This window comes from Homo sapiens, chromosome 5 (genome assembly GCF_000001405.40).
Source record: "Homo sapiens chromosome 5, GRCh38.p14 Primary Assembly".
Taxonomy (NCBI): Eukaryota; Metazoa; Chordata; class Mammalia; order Primates; family Hominidae; genus Homo; species Homo sapiens.
This window is the reverse complement of record NC_000005.10, coordinates 219,252-241,208: the sequence shown is the minus strand read 5'-3', so window position 1 is coordinate 241,208 and position 21,957 is coordinate 219,252. Positions and strand designations below refer to the sequence as shown.

At 45.7% G+C, this 21,957-nt stretch overlaps 1 protein-coding gene across 7 annotated transcripts in view; it reads right to left on the bottom strand.

Annotated features, from left to right (window-relative positions):
• Window positions 1-21,957, bottom strand: part of SDHA (succinate dehydrogenase complex flavoprotein subunit A) — a 50,427-nt gene that overhangs the window by 27,538 nt on the left and 932 nt on the right. For 5 of the 7 annotated variants that reach the window (XR_007058614.1, XM_011514072.3, XM_011514073.3 and 2 more), the window contains exons 2-11: window positions 17,641-17,727; window positions 16,688-16,849; window positions 15,647-15,790; window positions 15,162-15,326; window positions 12,876-13,024; window positions 10,209-10,333; window positions 7,564-7,732; window positions 5,870-6,065; window positions 4,610-4,781; window positions 733-851 (exon numbers count right to left, since the gene is read on the bottom strand). Coding sequence is in view for 6 of the 7 variants with exons in the window: in XM_011514072.3 (XP_011512374.1) it covers window positions 733-851; window positions 4,610-4,781; window positions 5,870-6,065; window positions 7,564-7,732; window positions 10,209-10,333; window positions 12,876-13,024; window positions 15,162-15,326; window positions 15,647-15,790; window positions 16,688-16,849; window positions 17,641-17,727 (1,488 nt within the window). In the remaining variant the exon portion in view is untranslated. The remainder of the gene's footprint in view (window positions 1-732; window positions 852-4,609; window positions 4,782-5,869; window positions 6,066-7,563; window positions 7,733-10,208; window positions 10,334-12,875; window positions 13,025-15,161; window positions 15,327-15,646; window positions 15,791-16,687; window positions 16,850-17,640; window positions 17,728-21,957) is intronic. The other 2 variants (XM_047417467.1, NM_001294332.2) reach the window with 1 other exon arrangement.

Sequence of the window (21,957 nt, the reverse complement as noted above, 5' to 3'; positions counted from 1 at the left end):
GCAATGGTCAGGTCACGGAGGTCACACCCAAGCACACACGAGTGAACCACAGAAGGCTGTCCTGGATGCCAAGCAGTCACTAATTCTGCCCTAGTCTGCCGACCTTCTATGTGGAAAAGAAGTGCACTTCTGTATAGTTCAGGCCTCCTGGTCTCTTTCATATTCTTGATACGGTGAGGAGTACGTCCTACCGCTGTTTACCTCCAGATACTGGTGCAGCCTTATGTATTTATCGCAGCACTAGTCACAACAGCAAAGTCATGGAATCAACCTAAGTGCCCATCAACGGATGACCAGATGAAGAAAATGTGGTACATATATACCATGAAATACTACTCGGCCATAAAAAAAGAACGCAATCATGTCTTCTGCAGCCACACGGATGGAACAGGAGGTCACTATCCTAAGTGAAGTGACTCAGAAGGTCAAGTGTCACACATTCTCACTTGGAAGTGGAAGCTGAATGGTGAGTACACATGGACACATGGAGTGGAGTAGCAGAGACTGGGAGCTCCAAAAAGCGGGAGGGGTGGGGTTGAACAATTACCTACTGGGTACAACACACACGACTTGTGTGACGGGTACATGAAAAGCCCAGACTCCACCACCTCCCAGTACATCCACACAAAACTGCACCTGCATCCCCCTAGATCTAGTTTTTAAAAAACAAAACCAGTGCAGGGCCAGGTATGCAGCCCTCCTGCTCACTCCAGAGCGAGTCCAGGCTCTTACCTTCTGCATGCTGAGTCGCAGTTCCGATGTTCTTATGCTTCCATCAGCAAATCTCAATTTGTCAAGATTCATGACAGATTCTTCCCCAGCGTTTGGTTTAATTGGAGGGACTTTATCTCCTAAAACAAAAAAAAGCTAGAATTTAACTTTTGAAAACCGTTTTAAAAAACCAAATGGATTTAGAATGACACACAAACATGTAGCACAGCCACTCAAGGAGCTTGGAAACTCTGTAAGTCTCCTGAGCTAACACACTGCCAGCCCACCCTACAGCTGAGGCCATCTGTTGAGTTGGGGCCAATTTTAAAGAACATAAAGGCAAAATTGTTGGCACACAGTAGATATCCATTAAGTGATCTTAGAGTGAATAAACTAGAAATCATCTCTAAAATTAAAAAATTAAATGTAGGCCGGGTGCGGTGGCTCACGCCTGTAATCCCAGCACTTTACGAGGCCAAGGTAGGTGGATCACTTGAGGTCAGGAATTCAAGAGCAGCCTGGCCAACATGGCAAAACCTCGTTTCACTAAAAACACAAAAATTATCTGGGTATGGTGGCACGCGTCTATAATCCCAGCTACTCGGGAGGCTGAGGCATGAGAACTGCTTGAACCCTAAAGGTGGAGGTTGCAGTGAGCCGAGATCGCGCCACTGCACTCCAGCCTGGGCAACAGAGCGAGACCCTGTCTTAAAAAAAAAAAAAATTAAATGTATACAAATTTATATATATTAAGTGTATATAAATGTCACTCCACTAAGGGAAAAAAGAGACACCTTCCAGATGGTGGTCCCAAGGGGCCGGCCACCCTTCACATCAGCGGGGGGAAGGTGGCTGCTGTGTGCTTGAAAGTCACCTGTTGATTTGGACTCTTATGTGCTCTCAACTATACTTCAAGATTAGCAATTTTTTTTTTTTTGAGATGGAATTTTGTTCTGTAGCCCAGGTTGGAGTGCAGTCAGTGGCACCATCTCGGCTCACTGCAACCTCCATCTCCGGGTTCAAGCAAGCCTCCTGCCTCAGCCTCCAGAGTAGCTGGGACTACAGGAATATGCCACCATACCTGGCTAATTTTTTGTATTTTCAGTAGAAATGGGTTTCACCATGTTGGCCAGTCTAGAACTCCTGACCTCAGGTGAGCCACCTGCCTTGGCTTCCCAAAGTGCTGGGATCACGTGTGAGCCACTGCGCACAGCCAAGATTTGCAACTCTTGTGTTTCTACGATGTCTTGAAAAAAGTTTTTAAGTTTTTTTTATAACGTTATATATATTTTCTTCAACAGGTAATACATGCAGGAGGTAGGATGTATGAAATGCAGGAGTCAAACAGGCCCCACCCCGCCCACCACCTCTCCACAGGACCAGGCTATGGGTCTCTTGAGGGTCTGCTCAAATGCTTCTAGGCTCGCTGGTGTTTCTCTTCCTTTTGATAATAATGCTTTAAAAATTGATCATTCAGTAAAATTGACTTTTTTCTTTAGGTGGACAGTTCTACAATTTACTTTTTCTTTTTTTTGAGACAGTGTCTCCTCCCTCTCTTGCCCAGGCTGGAGTACAGTGGTGTGATCTTGGCTCACTGCAACCTCTGCCTTCCAGGCTCCAGCAATCCTCCAACCTCAGCCTCCCAAGTAGCTGGGACTACATAGGTGTGAGCCACCATGCCCAGCTAATTTTTGTATTTTTGGTAGAGACGGGGTTTCACCACGTTGCCCAAGCTGGTCTCGAACTCCTGAGCTCAAGCAATCTGCCTGCCTCGGCCTCCCAAAGCGGTGGGATTATAGGCGTGAGCCACTGCACCCAGCCTCAGTTCTACCAATTTTAACACATGTATAGGCGCATGTAACCACTTCGGGAGGCTGAGACAGGAGGAACACTTGAGGCCAGGAGTTCAAGCCCATCCTGGGCAACACAGGGAGACCCTGTCCCTACAAAACATTTTTAAAAATTAGCCAGGTGTGGTGGTGTGCACCTGATCGTACCACTGCACTACAGCCTGGGCGACAGAGGGAGACTATCTCTTAAAAAAAAAAAATACATATATATGTGTATATATATGTATTTTTTTTTGCAGGGGGTTTTGGGGGAGAATAGTGATGCTACAAGCATTTTTTCTTTCCTTTTCATTTTTGAAAATTAAAGCATAAAGATACAGTAAAATAAACTCATCATTTTTAGTGTAGGGTTTTTCAAATTTTGACACACACAGAGTTGTGTCTGTAAGTCTCAGCACAATCAGGAAGCAGCCTCTGGCAACCACCAATCCCTTGTCTTCCCTAGATGTGCCTTTTCCAGAATGTCGTATCAACAGAACCACAGGCATGCAGCCTTTTGAGTCTGACTCCACAGCATTCTGCGTGAGATGCTGCATGCGTGGGCGGTTTCTCAGATGTAAAGTATAGGGTATTCTTACAAAATGTTCTTTTTTGCATTTTCAAAGAAAGAGCAGCTCAAAATTTCTACATTGCTCTGAGAGAAGTGGTATCAGTCCTCACTGCGACAAAGTGCAGGGCTATGGAGTGAGACAAGCACTACCTGCGGCGTCAGGAACGATGGACCTGAACTCCGCCTTCGCCGATGATCACCAATGGCTGGGGATGAGACGCCAGCTCTGCGTGTGCTGGCCTCCCGAGCGGTGGTCAGATCCAGAGACAGAGTGTCTGAAGTAAGCTACCCTTTTAATACTATCTGCACCTTTCTAACTACAGATACAAAAGGGGGCACGTTTATAAGTTACAGCCGTGCTAGTTTTTATTTCACTTGAATCCATACAAAAAGCACCTGTTGTATAAAAACAGCAGAAATGATGCTAACAGTTAACACCAGAGAAAGGTAACGGGAAGAACATGGGCCTGGGGTCCCACCATCCTTGCCACGCAAACATCCACCAGTGCCTCATCCACCTCACACTGTTCTGAGCACACGAGGCTGGATAACCACCGTGAGGATGTCTGGAGGTGGGAGAGATGCTAACTGCCCCGTTCTTAGTGCACGTAAGACTCACACTCCCACACATGGTATTTCCTTTACTGCACATTATTTGATGCTATCATGAAAAGAAAACCAGCAAGTGAAATCCAATCTGTCCGTAAAGGGTGGGAATCCTGTTCACTGTAAGTCATCCCTTCTCCTCTAATAGAGGCTAGCTGTACTTTGTTTCTAGAATGGCCTAAATTACTTTTCTAAGTACCAAGAAGTTACATATTCATTCATGCCAACTACTTAAAATATTTCATTGCAAATAAGTGATTTTTATCAGGCAAGTAATATGTAATGATTCCCCTAAAAATAACAACTTTCTAATAGTGCTTTTTCTAAACAGAACATAATGACTGCAAAATAATTAAAAAAAAATGTAACCCCAAAAATGTCACCTTAACTGTTAAGATCCCCAACCAGCCTCTATCTAGTCTCAACATTACCACCATATAATTTCTGGATTTCTCAGTTTAATCACTTCTGGGGGAAAAACCCAGACTACCTCTATATGATCACTAAGCAAATTTCCAGTAAGAAATCAAGGCTTTGTAACCTGGCTGGGTGCAGTGGCTCATGCCTGTAATCCCGATACTTTGGGAAGCTGAGGCAGGACTGTTTGAGTCTAGGAGTTCAAGACCAGCCTGGGCAATATTGTGAGACCCTGTCTCTACAAAATAAATTTTTTTAAAAATTAGCCAGGTGTGGTGGTGCACATCTGTAGTCCCAGCTACTTGGGACTCTGAAGGTTGAGGTGTTGAAGACTGCTTGAGCCCGGGAGGTTGAGGCTGCTATGACTGTGCCACTGCACTCCAGCCTGGGCTGACCCTTTCTCAAAAAAAAGAAAAAAGACTTTCTAACGTCCTGCGCCTTCTCAAATAGTCTGGCTCCTGAAGAAAACACTTACCAGGCCTGCATGACTCTTCGATGCTCAGGGCACATGCCCGACCAAAGACAACCAGGTCCAAGAGCGAGTTTGCCCCGAGGCGGTTGGCACCATGTACCGAGGCACAGGCGGCCTCCCCACAGGCGTACAGGCCGGGCACAATCTGATCCTGGCCATTCACGTGCCTCAGGACCTGTGGAAAGGAAGATTTCAGGTGAAATGTCAAGGTGCCCATGCCTCCACCAGCCCACCTTCCCCAACAGGGTGTCTGTGCTGCAGGTCAGAGAGAGGGAAGTAGGCCAGGCGTGGTGGCTCACGCCTGTAATCTCAGCACTTTGGGAGGCTGAGGTGGGTGATCACCTGAGGTCAGGGGTTCAAGACCTGTCTGGCTAACACGGTGAAACCCCATCTCTACTAAAAATACAAAAATTAGCGGGGCATAATGGCGGGTGCCTGTAATCCCAGCTACTAGGGAGGCTGAGGCGGAAAAATCACTTGAACCTGGGAGGCAGAGGTTGCAGTGAGCTGAGATCGCACCACTGCTCTCCAGCCGAAGCAACAGAGTGAGACTGCATCTCCAAGAAAAAAAAAGAGAGGGAAGTAAAGACCGTATCTAAGAGGGAAGTAAGGACCATAGCTACTCTTCTTCAGAGGGAAGCTTCCGAAGGTATCCCCCAGTTTCCCCTCTGCCCCTGAGCACCTGCTGTTACAAGCAGGTCAGAGGACCTCCAATGTCAGCATCTGCGACTGTCCCCCGTGTCCCATGTTCCCGGGGCCCTCACCACCTGTGCTCCGGCTCAGACCCAGGAGCACGGCAGGTGGAGGAACATCAGCAGGGGAGACTGATGTTCCAGACTGTTCTACCCCGTTCACCTCTTCGTCTACGCAGGGAGAGCAACAGCTTCCACCCACCTCGCCCAACAAGGAGCCTAAGTGACTGACAAGCTCTGTGTGAACCACAAACCACTCAAAGGAATGAATTATAAAGATCCCTTGATGTGTAAGATCATTAGAAATAACACAAGATCATATAGGAAAGTAATTACAAAATGGAAAAAGCTGCAAATGATGTATCTCTGACAATTTACTAAGGAGGAATAAATTATTAAGCCCCCTCCATCCTCCGGTAATAGAAATTTAAAGTGCAATCTAGAAAACAATACAGTACTTTCTTGAAGGAAACATCTATCTTTTCCTGTAAGATCTAAAGAGACAACTGCGAGGTGGGCCCCGTCGTCCCAGCCTTCTTTCCAGCTGTGGGGGAGGAGCCAGCACCATCACCTGCCCCTTGTAGTTGGTGGGAATGCCGCCCATGTTATAATGCACGGTGGGGAGGACAGGGATCGGCTCCTTCGTGACGTCCACGCCAGCGAAGATCATGGCTGTCTCTGAAATGCCAGGCAGGCGCGTGGCCAGCTGCTCTGGAGGTAGGTGGTGCAGCTGCAGGTAGACGTGATCTTTCTCAGGGCCACAGCCTCTGGTAAGACAGAACACCATCACATACGGCAGAGAACGGCAACGGCAGGAGACCTGAGAATACGTCATCTTGGAAGTGTGTGAGTTTCAACATGTTTTGATACTGAGGAAAATTTCCCCTCATGTATGGTCACCCTCTCATCAAATCTTTTCTAAGCAGCTACTGTGTGCCAGGGACAATCCCAGGTGCTGGGACACAGCTGAGAACCAGAACAAAAACTCTGCCCTCACTAAACTCACGCTCGTCTCAGGGATCACAGCCTGCTGCAGGTGTCCTTGGTAAGTGCATTAGAAAGGCCTCTATGCCAAATACAGTCGTCCCTGCGTATCCGTGGCAGGTTGGGTCCAGGACCCCCACGGATACCAAAATCCGTGGATGCTCAAGTCCCTAATATAAAATGGGAGAGTATTTGCATATAACCTATGCACATCCTCCTCTATACTTTAAATCATCCTCATTTCAAGTTTTACGTTTAAGTTTTACAGCAACTCCAGGATGACTCATAGTACCTAATACAATGTAAATGCTACGTAAATAGCTGTTACACTGTATTGTTAAGGGAACAATGACAAGGAAAAAAAGTCTGCATATTTGTAAGGATGCAATTTTATTTTCAATACATAGTTGGCTGAAACCACACATGTGGAACCAATGGGTACGGAGGGCCACCATATTCCAAAAAACCATTTGACTTCTCTGTTTTTTTTTTTTTTTTTTTTTTTTTTGAGACAGAGTGTTGCTCTGTCGCCCAGGCTGGAGTGCAGTGGTGTGATCTCAGCTCACTGCAAGCTCCGCCTCCCAGGTTCACGCCATTCTCCTGCCTCAGCCTCCCGAGTAGCTGGGACTACAGGCACCTGCCATCACGCCCGGCTAATTTTTTGTATTTTTAGTAGAGACGGGGTTTCACCGTGTTAGCCAGGATGGTCTCGATCTCCTGACCTCCTGATCTGCCCGCTTCAGCCTCCCAAAGTGCTGGGATTACAGGCGTGAGCCACTGCGCCCCACCTGACTTCTCTGTTTTTTTAATATAAAAATGTAAAACCTCTAAAGGCCATACCAGCAGATATTTAGCAAATGTCATTACATTAAAGAACAGGGTCAGGCAATGAAAGAGCTGCAAACTGTTTTACTGAAAGCCAAATAACCCACACACTTTGAAAGCTGCCAAAAAACATCTGTGGGTATCAGACACAACACCCAAGGCTCACATGCCGACTTCAGGTTGGGTGTGTGTCTCTCTCTCCCATACTCCGTCACATACTCACACACACTAAGAGAAACTCTGTTCCACAGATTTGAGAAAGAAACTGGCTAAAATTTTCAAAATGTAGGTCTTTAGGAAAATATCGCAGACTAACAGACGCCTGCCAGCAGCTAAGAGAGGTGGCTGTGCACATGCGCCTGCACACGAAGGTGAGGGCGAGCGGTGCTGAAACTCACAGAAGCAACCCCGGCCCGTGTGCCCGCTCAGACAGTGCTGGTGGTAAATCACACGCACCTTCCTTCTCGGATCTCCAGAGTCATGGACCGAGACACCACATCTCTAGACGCCAGGTCCTTCGCGACAGGGGCGTATCGCTCCATAAACCTTTCGCCTTGACTGTTAATGAGAATGCCTCCCTCTCCACGACATCCTTCCGTAATGAGACAACCAGCACCATATATGCCTGCAAAAAACCACACATATTTATTACCTAACAATTGCTAGATCTCTATTTCAAATGCATTATTTTTTTCAAGACATTTTTTGGGGGAAAGAGGAAAAAGATAAGCAGAAGGCATTATGTGCAAAACTGCACAGCAAGACAGTTAAGATACAGTAGAAAGTCTGGATAACAAAAAGCACTGACAAGGCTGACAGCTGCAGCAGAGGCTGGGGCAGAGCGGTGTCCCCAGAGAGGAGAAAGGCCGGCCCACAGACCTCTGGCCAATACTCTGATTACAGCCCAGTGTACGTTGGATGCCTCAAATTTTGTTTTAATTTTTGAACATTCTTTTGCACTATGATACTGTGGTGACTAGTTAAGAATACTAGCTTGAAGTATTCATATCTAAATTATCCAAACAGTGACAAGGACAGTAATAATGATTATTTTAGATAATATTTACACTGCACTTGCTATGGGCAGTTCTAGCTGCTTTCCACATATTAACTCGTTTAAGTCTTACAACAACTCTGGGTAGTACGACCCCCTTTCTCAGTGACAAGCAAATTAACACTTGGTAACATCCAGTCATGCAGCTGAGGACAGAGCTCAAACCCAAACCTGGGTAGTCCGGCGGTCTGTGCTCCAAACAGCGGCTCTGTGACTCCTCAGTGCGATGAGAAACAGGGCATGCCAAGCTCTCGAATTTTAACAAAGGAGATCAAAAACCCTAAACTAAATGTATTTCGAAAGCTACAATTTTTATTAGTATACAAAAAGGGCAATCTTGCTTTTAAAAAACGAATGTGATTCTTGTCTGTCTTTTGATTTTCTAAGTTTCAATGCTCTTTTTTCTGTGGTTACTTCTCACATACTGAAGACAAAGCATGAGCAGTGGAGCTCTAAGCAAATTACAGAGGGAATTCAGGGGCTCAGTGACATTTTATTCATTAAAAACAGTAATAAAAAATACAACAGGCCGGGTGCAGTGGCTCATGGCTATAATCCCAGGACCCTGAGGGGCCGAGGCAGGAGGATGGCCTAAGCCCTGGAGTTTGAGACCAGCCTGGGCAAAACGGTGACATCCCGTCTCTACCAAAAACGAAAAAACCCTCGAAAATTAGCTGGGCATGGTAACACATGCCTGTAGTCCCAGCTGTTTGGGAGGCTGAGGTGGAAGGATCGTTTGAGCCTGGGAGACAAAGGCTGCAGTGAGTCAAGATTGCTCCACTGCACTCCAGCCTGAGCAACAGAGCAAGACCCCATCTCGAAACAAATAAAAAAAAAACACTACAACAAATTCATTTCTTATTTTCATCCCTTCCAGGGATCAGAAAGCTGACACTGACAGAGAAAGAGAAGACACAGGTCTGGTTCTTTGGCACCACTTCAGAGGTCTCCATCGTCCACAGGTCAGAAAAGCAACCCAGAAAAGTATAGGACAAGTCACCTCAAACAAGAGGCAGGTGTGTGTCTGTCTCTGACTCATTCTGAAGAACCTCCTCCAAACTCAAGACTTCAACTGTCATTTCTGAGTTAATGTCTCCGAATTGCACATTCGTAACCTCAACCGTCAGACGTCCCCAAGACGAGCTCATCTTCCCCACGACAAGCTCTCTCAGTGGTCACGTGGGCTGAGCCCAGCGCCCAATGTCACATGGGGTTCTGTCACGGCTGCGTCCTAACTTTACATCCCATTGTCACAGAAGCTCCGTGTTCTCCTACAAAGCTGAAGTCTGCCTGTGCTGCTTCTCGGTTCCATGGCATTCTCCCAGCTCTCAGAATGTTCACTCAGTAAACCCCGGTGGAGACCCTACCATGTGCTGGGCATGGAGCACCACAGCTAACGAGAAGACCTGCCTGCCCGAGGAGCTGACGACCTCGTTGCGAAGAGGGACACTGAACAATCCCTGCTTTACTTTTTTTTTTTTTTTTTTTGAGACGGAGTCTTACTCTGTTGCCCAGGCTGGAGTGCAGTGGCGCGATCTCGGCTCACTGCAACCTCTGCCTCCCAGGTTCAAGCATTCCTCCCACCTCAGCCTCCCAAGTACCTGGGATTACAGGTACACGCCATCACGCCCAGCTGATTTTTGTATTTTTAGTAGAGACGAGGTGTCACCATGTTGGTCAGGCTGGTCTCGAACTCCTGACCTCAGGTGATCCGCCCGCCTTGGCCTCCTAAAGTGCTGGGACTACAGGAGTGAGCCACTGTGCTCGGCCTCAATCCCTGCTTTACTGCTGGCTTAAGTATCACCAAGGCAGGGTTTAGCGCTCTTGAGAAATACATAAGACGGTGGCCCAAACTGCCTTAGGGGAAGGGGAGTGTGGGAAAAGTCTCCTTAGGTAAATGACGTTGAAGTTAGGACCTGAGAGCTGAGGAAGCTGATCTTCAAAACCATGTTATTACATAAAACTATGGAAGAGCAATGAGTAGGCATCACATGCTTACAAGACACACACAAGCCAAACACCTGCCGGGCAAGGCGTCCTGCCCTACCTGTAGGGTGGAACTGAACAAACTCTAGGTCCTGGCAAGGAAGGCCTGCCCTGGTGATCATGGCCGTGCCGTCGCCAGTGCTGGTGTGGGCAGACGTGCAGCTGAAGTAGGTGCGCCCGTAGCCTCTGGAAACAATAGAGAGCAGTGACTGCACACAGCGGCCCACATCTGGACCTCCTATCTGGTGAGATCACAGAATGGACACGGCAGCCCCCAGCACCGTCTTCTCAGTGCTGTGCACACACAACCCCCTACTCACGCACACCCCACACATATCACTAGGGGCCGCGCCACTGGTGCTGCTACCCTGCACAGGTAGGATAGAAGCCTGGGATCAAAGAAAGGACTTCCATTTGTATTTTATTTATTTATTTTGAGATAGGATCTAACTCTGTTGACCAGGCTGGAGTAGAGTGGTGCGATCTCGGCTCACAGCAACCTCCGGCTCCCAGGTTCAAGTGATTCTTCCGCCTCAGCCTCCCGAGTAGCTGGGATTACAGTGTGCACCACCACGCCCAGTTAATTTTTGTATTTTTAGTAGAGATGGGGTTTCACCATGTTGGCCAGGCTGGTCTCGAACTCCTGACCTCAAGTGATCCTCCCACTTTGGCCTCCCAAAGTGCCGGGATTACAGGCGTGAGCCACTGCACACCTGGCCCTATTTGTATTTTAGCTTTGTGCTGTTCAAAAGGTTTCCCCAATAAGCATATACTACTTTTATAATGAAAATTTTAAAATTTTTATGGATTTTTTTCTCCCCCAGATTTACTGAGGTATGATTGATGAATTTAAAAAAAAAACTATATATTTATGGTGTACAGCGTGATGATTTATTTTGTGAAATGATGACACAATCAAGTTAATACACATCTATCACCTCATACAATTATCCTTTTTTTGGAGATACAGACGCCTAACGTCTACTATCTTCGCAAATTTCAAGTTATAATATTAACGATAGCCACCATGCTGTATAATATTAACTCTAGCCACCATGCTGTATAATGTTAACTCTAGCCACCATGCTGTATAATATTAACGATAGCCACCATGCTGTATATTAACTCTAGCCACCGTGCTGTATAATGTTAACTCTGGCCACCATGCTGTATAATGTTAACTCTGGCCACCATGCTGTATAATGTTAACGATAGCCAGCATGCTGTATAATGTTAACTCTAGCCACCATGCTGTATAATGTTAACTCTAGCCACCATGCTGTATAATGTTAACTCTAACCACCATGCTGTATAATGTTAACTATAGCCACCATGCTGTATAATGTTAACTCTGGCCACCATGCTGTATAATGTTAACTATAGCCACCATGTTGTATATTAGACCTTCAGAACTTCACCTTGTAACGGGAAGTTACACCTTTAATCAGCATCGCCACAGTCTGCATTCCCCCAGCCCCTGGCAACCACTGTCCTACTCTGTTTCTGTGAGTTGTGACTGTTTTAGATTCCACATGAGTGACATGCAGTATCTGTCTTTCTGTGCCTGGCTCGTTTCACTTAACATAATGACTTTGGGTTCATCCACGTTGTCACACATGACAGGATTTCCTTCATTTTCATAGCCGAATAATATTCAGTTGTGTATACACACCACATTGTCATTAAACACCAACACATATTTAGGTTGTTTCCATATCTCGGGTATTGTGAATAATGCTGCAATGAACATAGGGTCCAGGTGTCTCTTTGAGCTTCTGATTTCATGCCCTTTGGATATACACCCAGAAATGGGGTTGCTGGAGCACATAGTAGTCCTATGAATTTTGAGGAACCTCCAGAGTTTTCCGTAATAGTTGTACTAATTTACATTCCCACCAACAGCACACAGGGTTCCCTTTTCTCCACATCCTCACCAACACTTGCTCTTTTGTCCTCTTGGTAACAGTCATTCTAACTGGAGCGAGATGAGATGATATCTCATTGGGGTTTTAATTTGCATTTCTCTGGTGCTTAGTGACGTTGAGCATTTTTTCATACATCAATTGGCCATTTGTATGTCTTCTCTAGAAAAATATCTATTCAAGTCCTTTGCCCATTTTTAGTAGGGTTGTTTTTTAGTAGGGTTTAGTAGGTTGTTTTTAGTAGGGTTTTTTTTTTGCTATTTTAGATAGTAAGATATTATTACACATATGGTTTGGAAAATATTTCTTCCCAACCTGTAGTTTTGCTGATTTTTTGTTTGGCTGTACTGACACTTTTTAACTTTTAAAATGGTTAAAGTAACTGACAGTGTATAAAATTAAAGTTACTTATTTTCATCATGTGGAGAAGAAGGACTTACCCACCCGAGGAATCAGTATCAATACAGTACCCACTAAAACAAGAGAGATTTTGCCAGAAAACCCCATGTTGACTCTTTGGGCCACAGTTCCCTCATCTAAATTGGGAGAGGTAAGCTGTGAACCTGAGGGCAACCACTACCATCTACTGAGGACCATGCTTTCTCACCCTGAGGCAGGTGCTCCTGTCCTCACCCTTTACAGGTGAGGAACCACGGCTGGGAAAGGCCATCACCCTCACATGGTTATATCAAGGCCTGTGTCTAAACCGTTATTCTACAATGCCTCTATTTTCATTAAAATAAAGAAACTCTAAATGAAATTTATTCATTTTTATAAACAAAATAAAGTAGAAATGAGATTCCTACCCTGTGGCAACAACAGTGTTCTTTGCTCTTATGCGATGGATGGACCCGTCCTCTATGCACAGTGCGATGACACCACGGCACTCCCCATTCTCCATCAGGAGATCCAAGGCAAAATACTCCACAAAATAGCTGGTATCATATCGCAGAGACTAAAAGAAAGGAAAAAAAAAGGGCAAGAAGTGTTAAGCCAAACTTTAAGGTTTTAAGGTGGTATCTGCTCATGTGAATAGGTGAAAGAACTTGATCCAAATGGACCAGGTAAATCCAAGGAGATCAGCAACAGTGTCAGTGACACTGTCAGAGCCCGAGAGGCATTCCACGCCGAGCAGTACAGACAAGGCAGGTGTGCTAGAGAACGCAGCAGCAACAGCTCCTATTTTGGTGACACATTTCCTACTTCTACACAACCCGAAGAGGCACTCCACACTGTCCGGTGGCCGCATGCAGCTCCACTCGGAGTCTGGTGCCAGAGTGAGGTCCGCAGACCATGCAGTCACAGCCCAGATGGGAGCTACTGGCAACACATAACCACTTAATTAATTAAAATAAGTCAAAACATTCAGCTCTTCAGCTACACCTGCCACATTAGCAACAGCCCCATGTGGCTGGCAGCTACCAAAGCGGACGGTTGCAGACGAGCAGATTCCGGCACCGCAGAAAGGTAGGCGCCGGACAGCGCTGCCCGCCTGGACCTGCCGTTCCCTCAGCCAGCACAAGTCGCTCTTGTAAGCCTGGGCCAGCTCCCCACATGACAGCTCCTGCTCCAGATGGAGCCGCGGTCTCCTCCCACCACACACTTGTCGATGCACTCAGCCACAGAGAAGTCACTGGTGTTCTAACAACCTGCAAATTAACGATCCGTCCCCATGCATCAGAAAACAACAAAGTTCAGAATATTGATTACTCTGAATCAATACCGTTCAGAATATTATTTGGCCATGCCAAAGTTGACTCTGATTACCCAGTAACTATTGTCACCTCAAGTCTTTCTTCAGTGTTAACAGTTAATATTAAAACAATCCATGGCCGGGTGCGGTGGCTCACGCCTGCAATCCCAGCACTTTCGGAGGCCAAGGCAGGTGGACTGCCTGAGCTCAGGAGTTCGGGACCAGCCTGGGCAACATGGGAAACCCTGTCTCTACTAAAATACAAAAAATTAGCCAGGCATGGTGGCGTGCGCCTGTAGTCCCAGCTACTCGGGAGGCTGAGGCAGGAGAATCACTTGAATCCAGGAGGTGGAAGTAGCAGTGAGCTGAGATTGTGCTACTGCACTCCAGCCTGGGTGACAGAGTGAGACTCCGTCTCAAAAACAAAACAAAACAAAACAAACAAAACCAATCCATTCAGGAACTCAGAGGTGGTAAAAGAGACTTAAAATACTTGTTCTTTTTTTTTTTTTTTTTTTGAGATGGAGTCTCATTCTGTTGCCCAGGCTGGAGTGCAGGGGTGCGATCTCGGCTCACTGCAAGTTCCGCCTCCTGGGTTCACGCCATTCTCCTGCCTCAGCCTCCCAAGCAGCTGGGACTACAGGTGCCTGCCACCATGCCTGGCTAATTTTTTTGTATTTTTAGTAGAGACGGGGTTTCACAGTGTTAGGCAAGATGGCCTCAAACTCCTGACCTTGTGATCTGCCCGCCTAGGCCTCACAAAGTGCTGGGATTACAGGCGTGAGCCACCGCACCCAGCCTGTTCTTTCTCTTTTTTTGAGACAGGGTCTCCTGTTGCCCAGGCTGGAGTGCAGTGGTACGAACATGGCTCACTGTAGCCTCAACCTCCTGGTCTCAAGTGATCCAGGAGCCTCAGCCTCCTGAGTAACTGGGATTACAAGCATGTACCACCATGCCCAGCTAATTTTTAAACTTTTTGTAGAGACAGGGTCTTGCTATGTTGTCCAGGCTGGTCTCAAACTTCTGGTCTCAAGTGATCCTCCTGCCTTGGCCTCCTAAAGTGCTGGGATTACAGACCTGAGCCACTGTGCCTGGCCTGCTTGCTCTGCTCTTGTATGTTGAGTGTCACATATCCCAAGTTAAAACCTGGTATGTAAGATTATCGATTCAACTTTCTGACATAGATGCAAGAAGTCACACACTGCCTTAGGGACAGCTCCTCAAGGCACACGTCTGGTCCTGTCACATCCACAGTCGCTGCATGCGCCCCACGCTGCTGTTCTCTGTTGCTTTTTACGTAATCTCTGGCTGACTCACTGGGCACGCTAACCCATTCCCCACTGTCACCATAAGCCCCAGCACTACGTGTCCTGTCTCAGGTGGACGGGGGCGGCCTTACCCTTCCATATAAGGTGTGCAATAGCGAGTGGCCAGTCCGATCAGCCACACAGCAGCACCGATGGGCCTGCCCGCCCTTTCCAAACTTGAGGCTCTGTCCACCAAATGCACGCTGATAAATCTTCCCATCTTCAGTTCTGCTAAACGGCATGCCATAATTTTCTAGCTGTGAAAGATAAAAACAAACAAAAACCTTAACACCTTAAAGGAGTCAAGATATTCGCAGCTAATCTACACTAAACAAGTTTAACACAAATCTGCAAACCCAAAGTAACCTATTTTATGAAAATGTCAACACTTCATCAAAGAGAAGTTTTCTTGTTACATATAATGCATAGTTCATAACGGAAAAAGACTCTTCTTGTGAACTTTGCTCATCACCATTCTTTTGGCTGCCACATCCGCCTCAATTGCTTACATTTTTTTCCAGGATTCTTTTGTACTAGAAACAGACCACGAGAACACCCAGAGCCTCCCGCCCATCACCTCGACCACGGCGGCGGGGGCCTGCTCCGTCATGTAGTGGATGGCATCCTGGTCCCCCAGCCAGTCGGAGCCCTTCACGGTGTCGTAGAAATGCCACCTCCAGTTGTCCTCCTCCATGTTCCCCAGAGCAGCATTGATTCCTCCCTGGAAACACCAACCACTCCTTACAAGCCACAAACAGGAGCGCCAACTTTGTCTTCCAGGCCCAAATCCACCCGCTGGGGGGATTCAGAGAAAGCCAACTACTCACACAGTGACTCCCAGTGAGGGCTGACCTCAGCAGAGGAGCAGCGAGACCCGACAGATTCCAGATCACAACCCCTCCCCGACTCGCCCAGTGATTCCATCCTTAGCCTCAGTCTCCTCATCTGCGTGGTGGAGACACAGGGAACTCCAGGAAGGGCTGACTGGAGCAGTGAGTGAAAGGCTACCTGTAATATGCTTATAACCTAACCTATCTGGCACAGAAAAGGTACTCAACAAATCTTTCCAGATAATTTTATTAACAAATCTTCCCAATGGCATTTACGGGCATGTGTTAAAGACTAGAAGTGCTTCCTGCCAAGTAATAAACTCCACACTCAGAGTCGCACTCCCCTGTACCCCAGCTTCCTTTGGCTGTGTGTGCCCACCACTGTCTTACCCCTCAGAGAGTCCCAGAAGACAGAAGCACAGGGACAAATGAAACCCTTGCCCTTTTCTTCCCCAACCTAAATTCTGATTCCTCCTCTTTAGGTGATCTCCTTTTCTTAAGGTGTTGGGGTGGCGGGGGTAGGTGGGGAAGGTAGTAGGCAAGATGGTCAGAGAAAACCCAAGTGTGACTGGAGTCTGAATTAGGAGTGACAACAAGTCTCCCGCCCTTCAAAGTCCCCAGGGAAGAGGCTCCAGGGAGAGACCCCTGAGAGGGTGAGCTGAGTAAGGCACAGCAAGAGGCCATGTGGCTGGAGCAGGGGGAGGAGGCAGGGGGCTGCCCAGGTAGAAAGTGCGAGGCTGCGCGGGACCTGCACGGAGTGGGAGCACAGTGGGGCACCTTTCTCTTACCTGTGCTGCAACAGTGTGTGACCTGGTAGGAAACAGCTTGGTAACACATGCTGTATTAAACCCTGCCTCAGAAAGGCCAAATGCAGCTCGCAAGCCTGCCCCTCCAGCGCCTACCACCACTGCATCAAATTCATGATCCACTACTGGATACTGAGCAGAAATCTGGAAAAGAAAAATTCACCTGTCAATCACATGTTCCACTATGCCAAACATGAAGAATCTTGTGACAGTGAAAGAGCTTGACAAAGATAAAAGGAGCAACTGCTGGGCACACAGGGCCTCCATCCTGTCCTGGGGCTGAGCCCTGAACAGTTCGGGGAGAGGTGGGCACATTCGCACCTGGAGAAGGGACTGACAATCAGATTCTACGAATGGTAGAGGGTCTATCCCATGGGGTCAGACTGAGGACCACAACTCTACTTCAGGGCCGTGCCTATGCTTATGCCTGAGAAGGTGCCAAGGAGTATTCAGTCGCTATTGTGGGCTTATAAGAAAACAACTTCTCAGCAAGTTTCAGTTTTTCAACAGAGATAGGCTCACTAAATACAAAGCAACCCACACCCGAGGGGCCCCACCATCCTATTTTCAGTAGGATTTTATCATCTATCACAGCAGATACTGTTCACTGGCCCCACCGTCCTATTTTCAGTAGGAATTTTATCATCTATCACAGCAGACACTGTTCATTTTATTTTAATTTATTGCTTTACTTGATCTAAATTTAAATCTAGTTTATAGATACATAACAGATACAAGTAAAAATGTAAACATCTATGTTTATATTTGTACTTGCAATTAAGTATTATTACACTGAAAATAATTTCAGCATGCATTGGATACCTATGAGAAATTTTTCCCTTATGTCTATGACTCATATGAAAACAAACTGGTATAGATCCTTACCCCCTAAGCCAAAAAAATCATTTATAATGGAACAAAAAGCATGAACTTACGGAATCTGAAACTTTAGCAGATGCCCTCTTGTTCCCATCAACAGTGAAGTGAAAACCTCGGGTTCCTGTTTGCAACACTGTTGGCCACTGGAGACACAGAAGACACAGATCCAGAGGGTTAGTGTCCTGAAGGAACAAATGCTGTGGGGGATAGTAATTTCCCCTTGCAAACTGTTCACCTTCTTATGTACCCAGGTGCTCCTGTGCATCCAGAGAGCTCAGCTGGGACCCTCTACTTAACCCTGAAGGCAGCCCAAGGGGCAAGGAAGGACTGAGCCCCCAGGTCCTCGTTTCCACCCTGACTTGGCACTCTAGAAAACCAGGATGAAGCTTGTTTCCAAACAGGATACTCACTGACTCAGATACGAAATGAAAAAGGCACACTTCCTCTGTGAAGTCTTAATGTATGCTACTTAGTGGAGAAGGGGAAAGACGTGTATATTGTATTACTGTATGTGGTATTTTGCAAGTAATGAAGCATTTTAACTGGCTCCATCATAGCCCTTTCCACATTACAGTTCCAATCGTCCAGGAGGGCTTGTGGTCAGTTCAAAAGGCACTCAACATTGAATCAGGAGATCTGTATCCTGGAACAGTAAAAGCTGACAGCCTAGAGGGACGAGGTGTCATCCCTTCATCACACAGGAGGATGTCGGATGCACACTCTCCCCTGCCTGGCTGCTGCTGGCTTTTTCCTGGCCAACATCTACAACTTGACACATCTTGCTGCTTAAATTTTCCATCTTAGAAAACTTTACCCAAGAAAACTGGTTTTGGTGTTTAGTTTTTAGTGGCTCTGTGTGAGAGAGGTGACACTGTCCATATGCTAAGGTTGGCCAGCCATTTAGGGGATACGTTTTCCATTCTGCTGGCTACATTTGAGAAGACCACTGAATAGTCTCAGAAATATCATCAAGAATAGTTTTAGGGGCTGGGCACGGTGGCTCATGCCTGTAATCCCAGCATTTGGGGAGGCCAAGGTGGGTGGATCACCTGAAGTCAGGAGTTCAAGACCAGTCTGGCCAACATGGCAAAACCCCATCTCTACTAACAATTAGCTGGGCGTCGTGGCGGGCACCTGTAATCCCAGCTACTTGGGAGGCTGAGGCAGGAGAATCGCTTGAACCCAGAAGGCAGAGGCTGCAGTGAGCCTAGACTGTGCCACTGCACTCCGGCCTCGGCAACAGAGAGAGACAACGTCTCCAAAAAAAAAAAAAAGAAAAGAAAAAAAAGCTTTAGGAAATAAATGCAATCAGAAGAGGGGATGTGAGGAATGTCTTCAAGTATTTAGAAATACTTGCAATTCAGAAATTACTTATTATGTGGGATAAAAAATTATTCTTCATTTCTCCAATTTCTAGTCTCTGTTTTTATTGGTATAAGCTAATTCAGCTTTTTTCTTTTTTCAGAAAATGAATGAGAAAGAACAAATATTCTTCTACCTTAGTAAAATTTTTGCATGGTAAAATCATATTTTAAGAAAGAAGTCTTTGAAATAATTTTAATACAAATGTTCTTGAAAATGTTGTAAAGTGCCCTATTAACATAGTAATAGCACCAGTAAGAACAGTATATTATACCAAATGTAAGTAGAAACAGTGAGATCACTCAATGTTTATTCGTTCTTTCTAGGATGTTGATGTGGAAGACCCACTGCCCACCCCCCACCACACACACACAGAGCTGGCTTAAAAGGGGCAGCTACTATAACACAATCTTGAACAAATTATCACGCCATCCCCCTGGCGAAAAGGACACTAACCCTCTCAATCTAAATCTAATCTGGGGCAGATTTTTGAATTTGGAAAGCCCAACTTTAAGCCAATTTCAGTCTTTAGATAAAACTCAAAACTAGTTTTGACACAAAACTAGTCTTTTGTGCCAATTGTTAATTTTTTTAGGAGAAACTATCAAACATTTCCTCAAGAAAAAAAATGGGGAACATATAACTAAAAGGAATACTTAGACCTTGCTTAACAATACAGAATTTCAGATGACTGAATTAGGAGGTGGAGGGGAAAAGTAAGAAGTGCAGAGACATTCATATCCGAAATCTAGCAAAGTAAGGGGTCCTCATCTAATACAACGCACCTATAAATCACGAGCAAGAAACTAATCTGCATGTACAACCTACACAATCACAAAAGCAGCCAACGAAGAACCTAAAAACGCACGACTGTATCAGGAAGAAGCGGAAGCAGGGTAGTTTAAGTGAACTAAATCCCCTCTCTAGGCAAGAAGTCTAAAACTGATAAAAATGCACCTGCATATCCGCTAAAGAAACAGAGGTATTACAAATGCCAGGAGTCAGTATCAGAAACAGGAATTGCTTTCATGGAAAATGAACTGGGTGAGGGAGGGTATACTCATTGATTCTTTTACAACTGCGTGTAATTATTCTCACTAGAATTTTAGTGTTTATTATTTTAAAAACAGGGATACTTAAAATACAGTTCGGCCGGGCGTGGTGGCTCACACCTGTAATCCCAGCCCTTTGGGAGACCGAGGCGGGCGGATCACGAGGTCAGGAGATGGAGACCATTCTGGCTAACATGGTGAAACCCCGTCTCTACTAAAAACACAAAAAAATTAGCCGGGCATGATGGCAGGTGCCTGTAGTCCCAGCTACTCAGGAGGCTGAGGCAGGAGAATGGCGTGAACTCGGGAGGCAGAGCTTGCAGTGAGCCGAGATTGCGCCACTGCACTCCAGCCTGGGTGACAGAGTGAGACTCTGTCTCAAAAAAAAAAAAAAATTCAGTTCACACATGGTTACTGTGCATAGGCTGTGAGCCCTGGTTCTCAAGAGCATCACCAAAGGTTTCAAACATTACCCACAGAATCCTCACTAACCCCACGGAAAGACGGAGCTCAGAGAGGATTCAAGTCGGCCGGCCTGGCTCTGGATCCTGGACTTGCCCCCCTATCTAAAGACCCTTGGGAAAAATCTCTGAGACTCCCAACTAATATTAATATCCAGGTTTCATATCAAAAAACAAGTCACAATTTTTCAAATAAATCAGGAAAAACATCATGAGGAATGCAGAATGGAATGCCATTGTTGTTACAATTATCCCAAGAAGCAAAGCAAAGGTTTACTACTATAATGGCCTAAATAATGTATTTCTAGAACACCATTAAACATATTCAGAACAATCCATTCAAAGAAAAGAAATCAATTTGTCCTAGAACAATATATTGGATGTTCATGTTAAGGGATTTGAAAAACTTCACCTGAAGTAAGCAGTTAACCAGTAACTATTGAAGTTTCTTGGTTTTCTTTTTCCTCTGATTAAACTGCTTTCGAACAGTTTGCAAGCTGTGTCAGTGCACTGGGCCATAAAAAGAAACCAAAAGCAAAATAAGTCTGATAAGTTCGTCACTTGAAAGCAGTTGTAAATACAGAATGATCAAAACACCACAGAACTGGCCAAAATGAGGTTAAAAAATTCTCTCTGGACTTTACTGAAATTATCCTCAGCATCTATTTTCCAAACACATTTCTCAGTTGGCTATCACGAATTTCTTTCTTTTTTCTGCTAATTTTTTGATTATGCTGTTCCTTCGTAAACTCCAATTCTTCAGGAAAAAAAGCCTATCTGAAATGCCGATAAATATGCTGCTTGCAGGCAGAATTTCTGTAGGAAAAGCTAACTTCATCAAGATAAAAAGACTTTTACAAAACCCAAGACTAAATTTTGGTTCAATTTTGCTATCTTGCCATCCCGTCTGAGGTGCCTCCGCCGCTGGCAGGGTCTTAGTCTGCAGAAGGAACACCGGGCACCATCTGGGTTGAGGACAAAGGCACTAGCTCTAGCTTTTCTCCAATCACAAGCTACCATTTCCCCTAAAAAGCCCCACTGACCATGGGCTTTCCTTCCTGCTTGTGGACGCCCTCCTAGCAGCTCTTAAAAGCCCAAGATGCGGCAGGGGTCTCTGCTCAGTCAGTACCAACCACAGCAACACACTAGAACGGTTTACACGCTTTCTGATGTTGGCAGGATGGCTGTATGACTAATCCTCACATTTAACTCAACGAGATTTTTAATAAGTATTTCAAAAAGGAGAAAATTGCACAATTACAGGCATAATTCAAATCAATATTGCTGAATGCCTTGGTTCCTATTGAGATTTTTATTCTGCAATTTAAAATTACTTTGTAATTAAGGAGGTGGGTGGGTAAGTTCATTTAAAAGAACCAAACAACTAAACCTATCCAATTTAGCTTGATTAAATAAAACCCTAGAAGGCCGATTCTTAAGATGCAATCGTAGAGGGCACATTCAGACACTCAGAGAGCAAGGGCTCAGGGAAGTATAA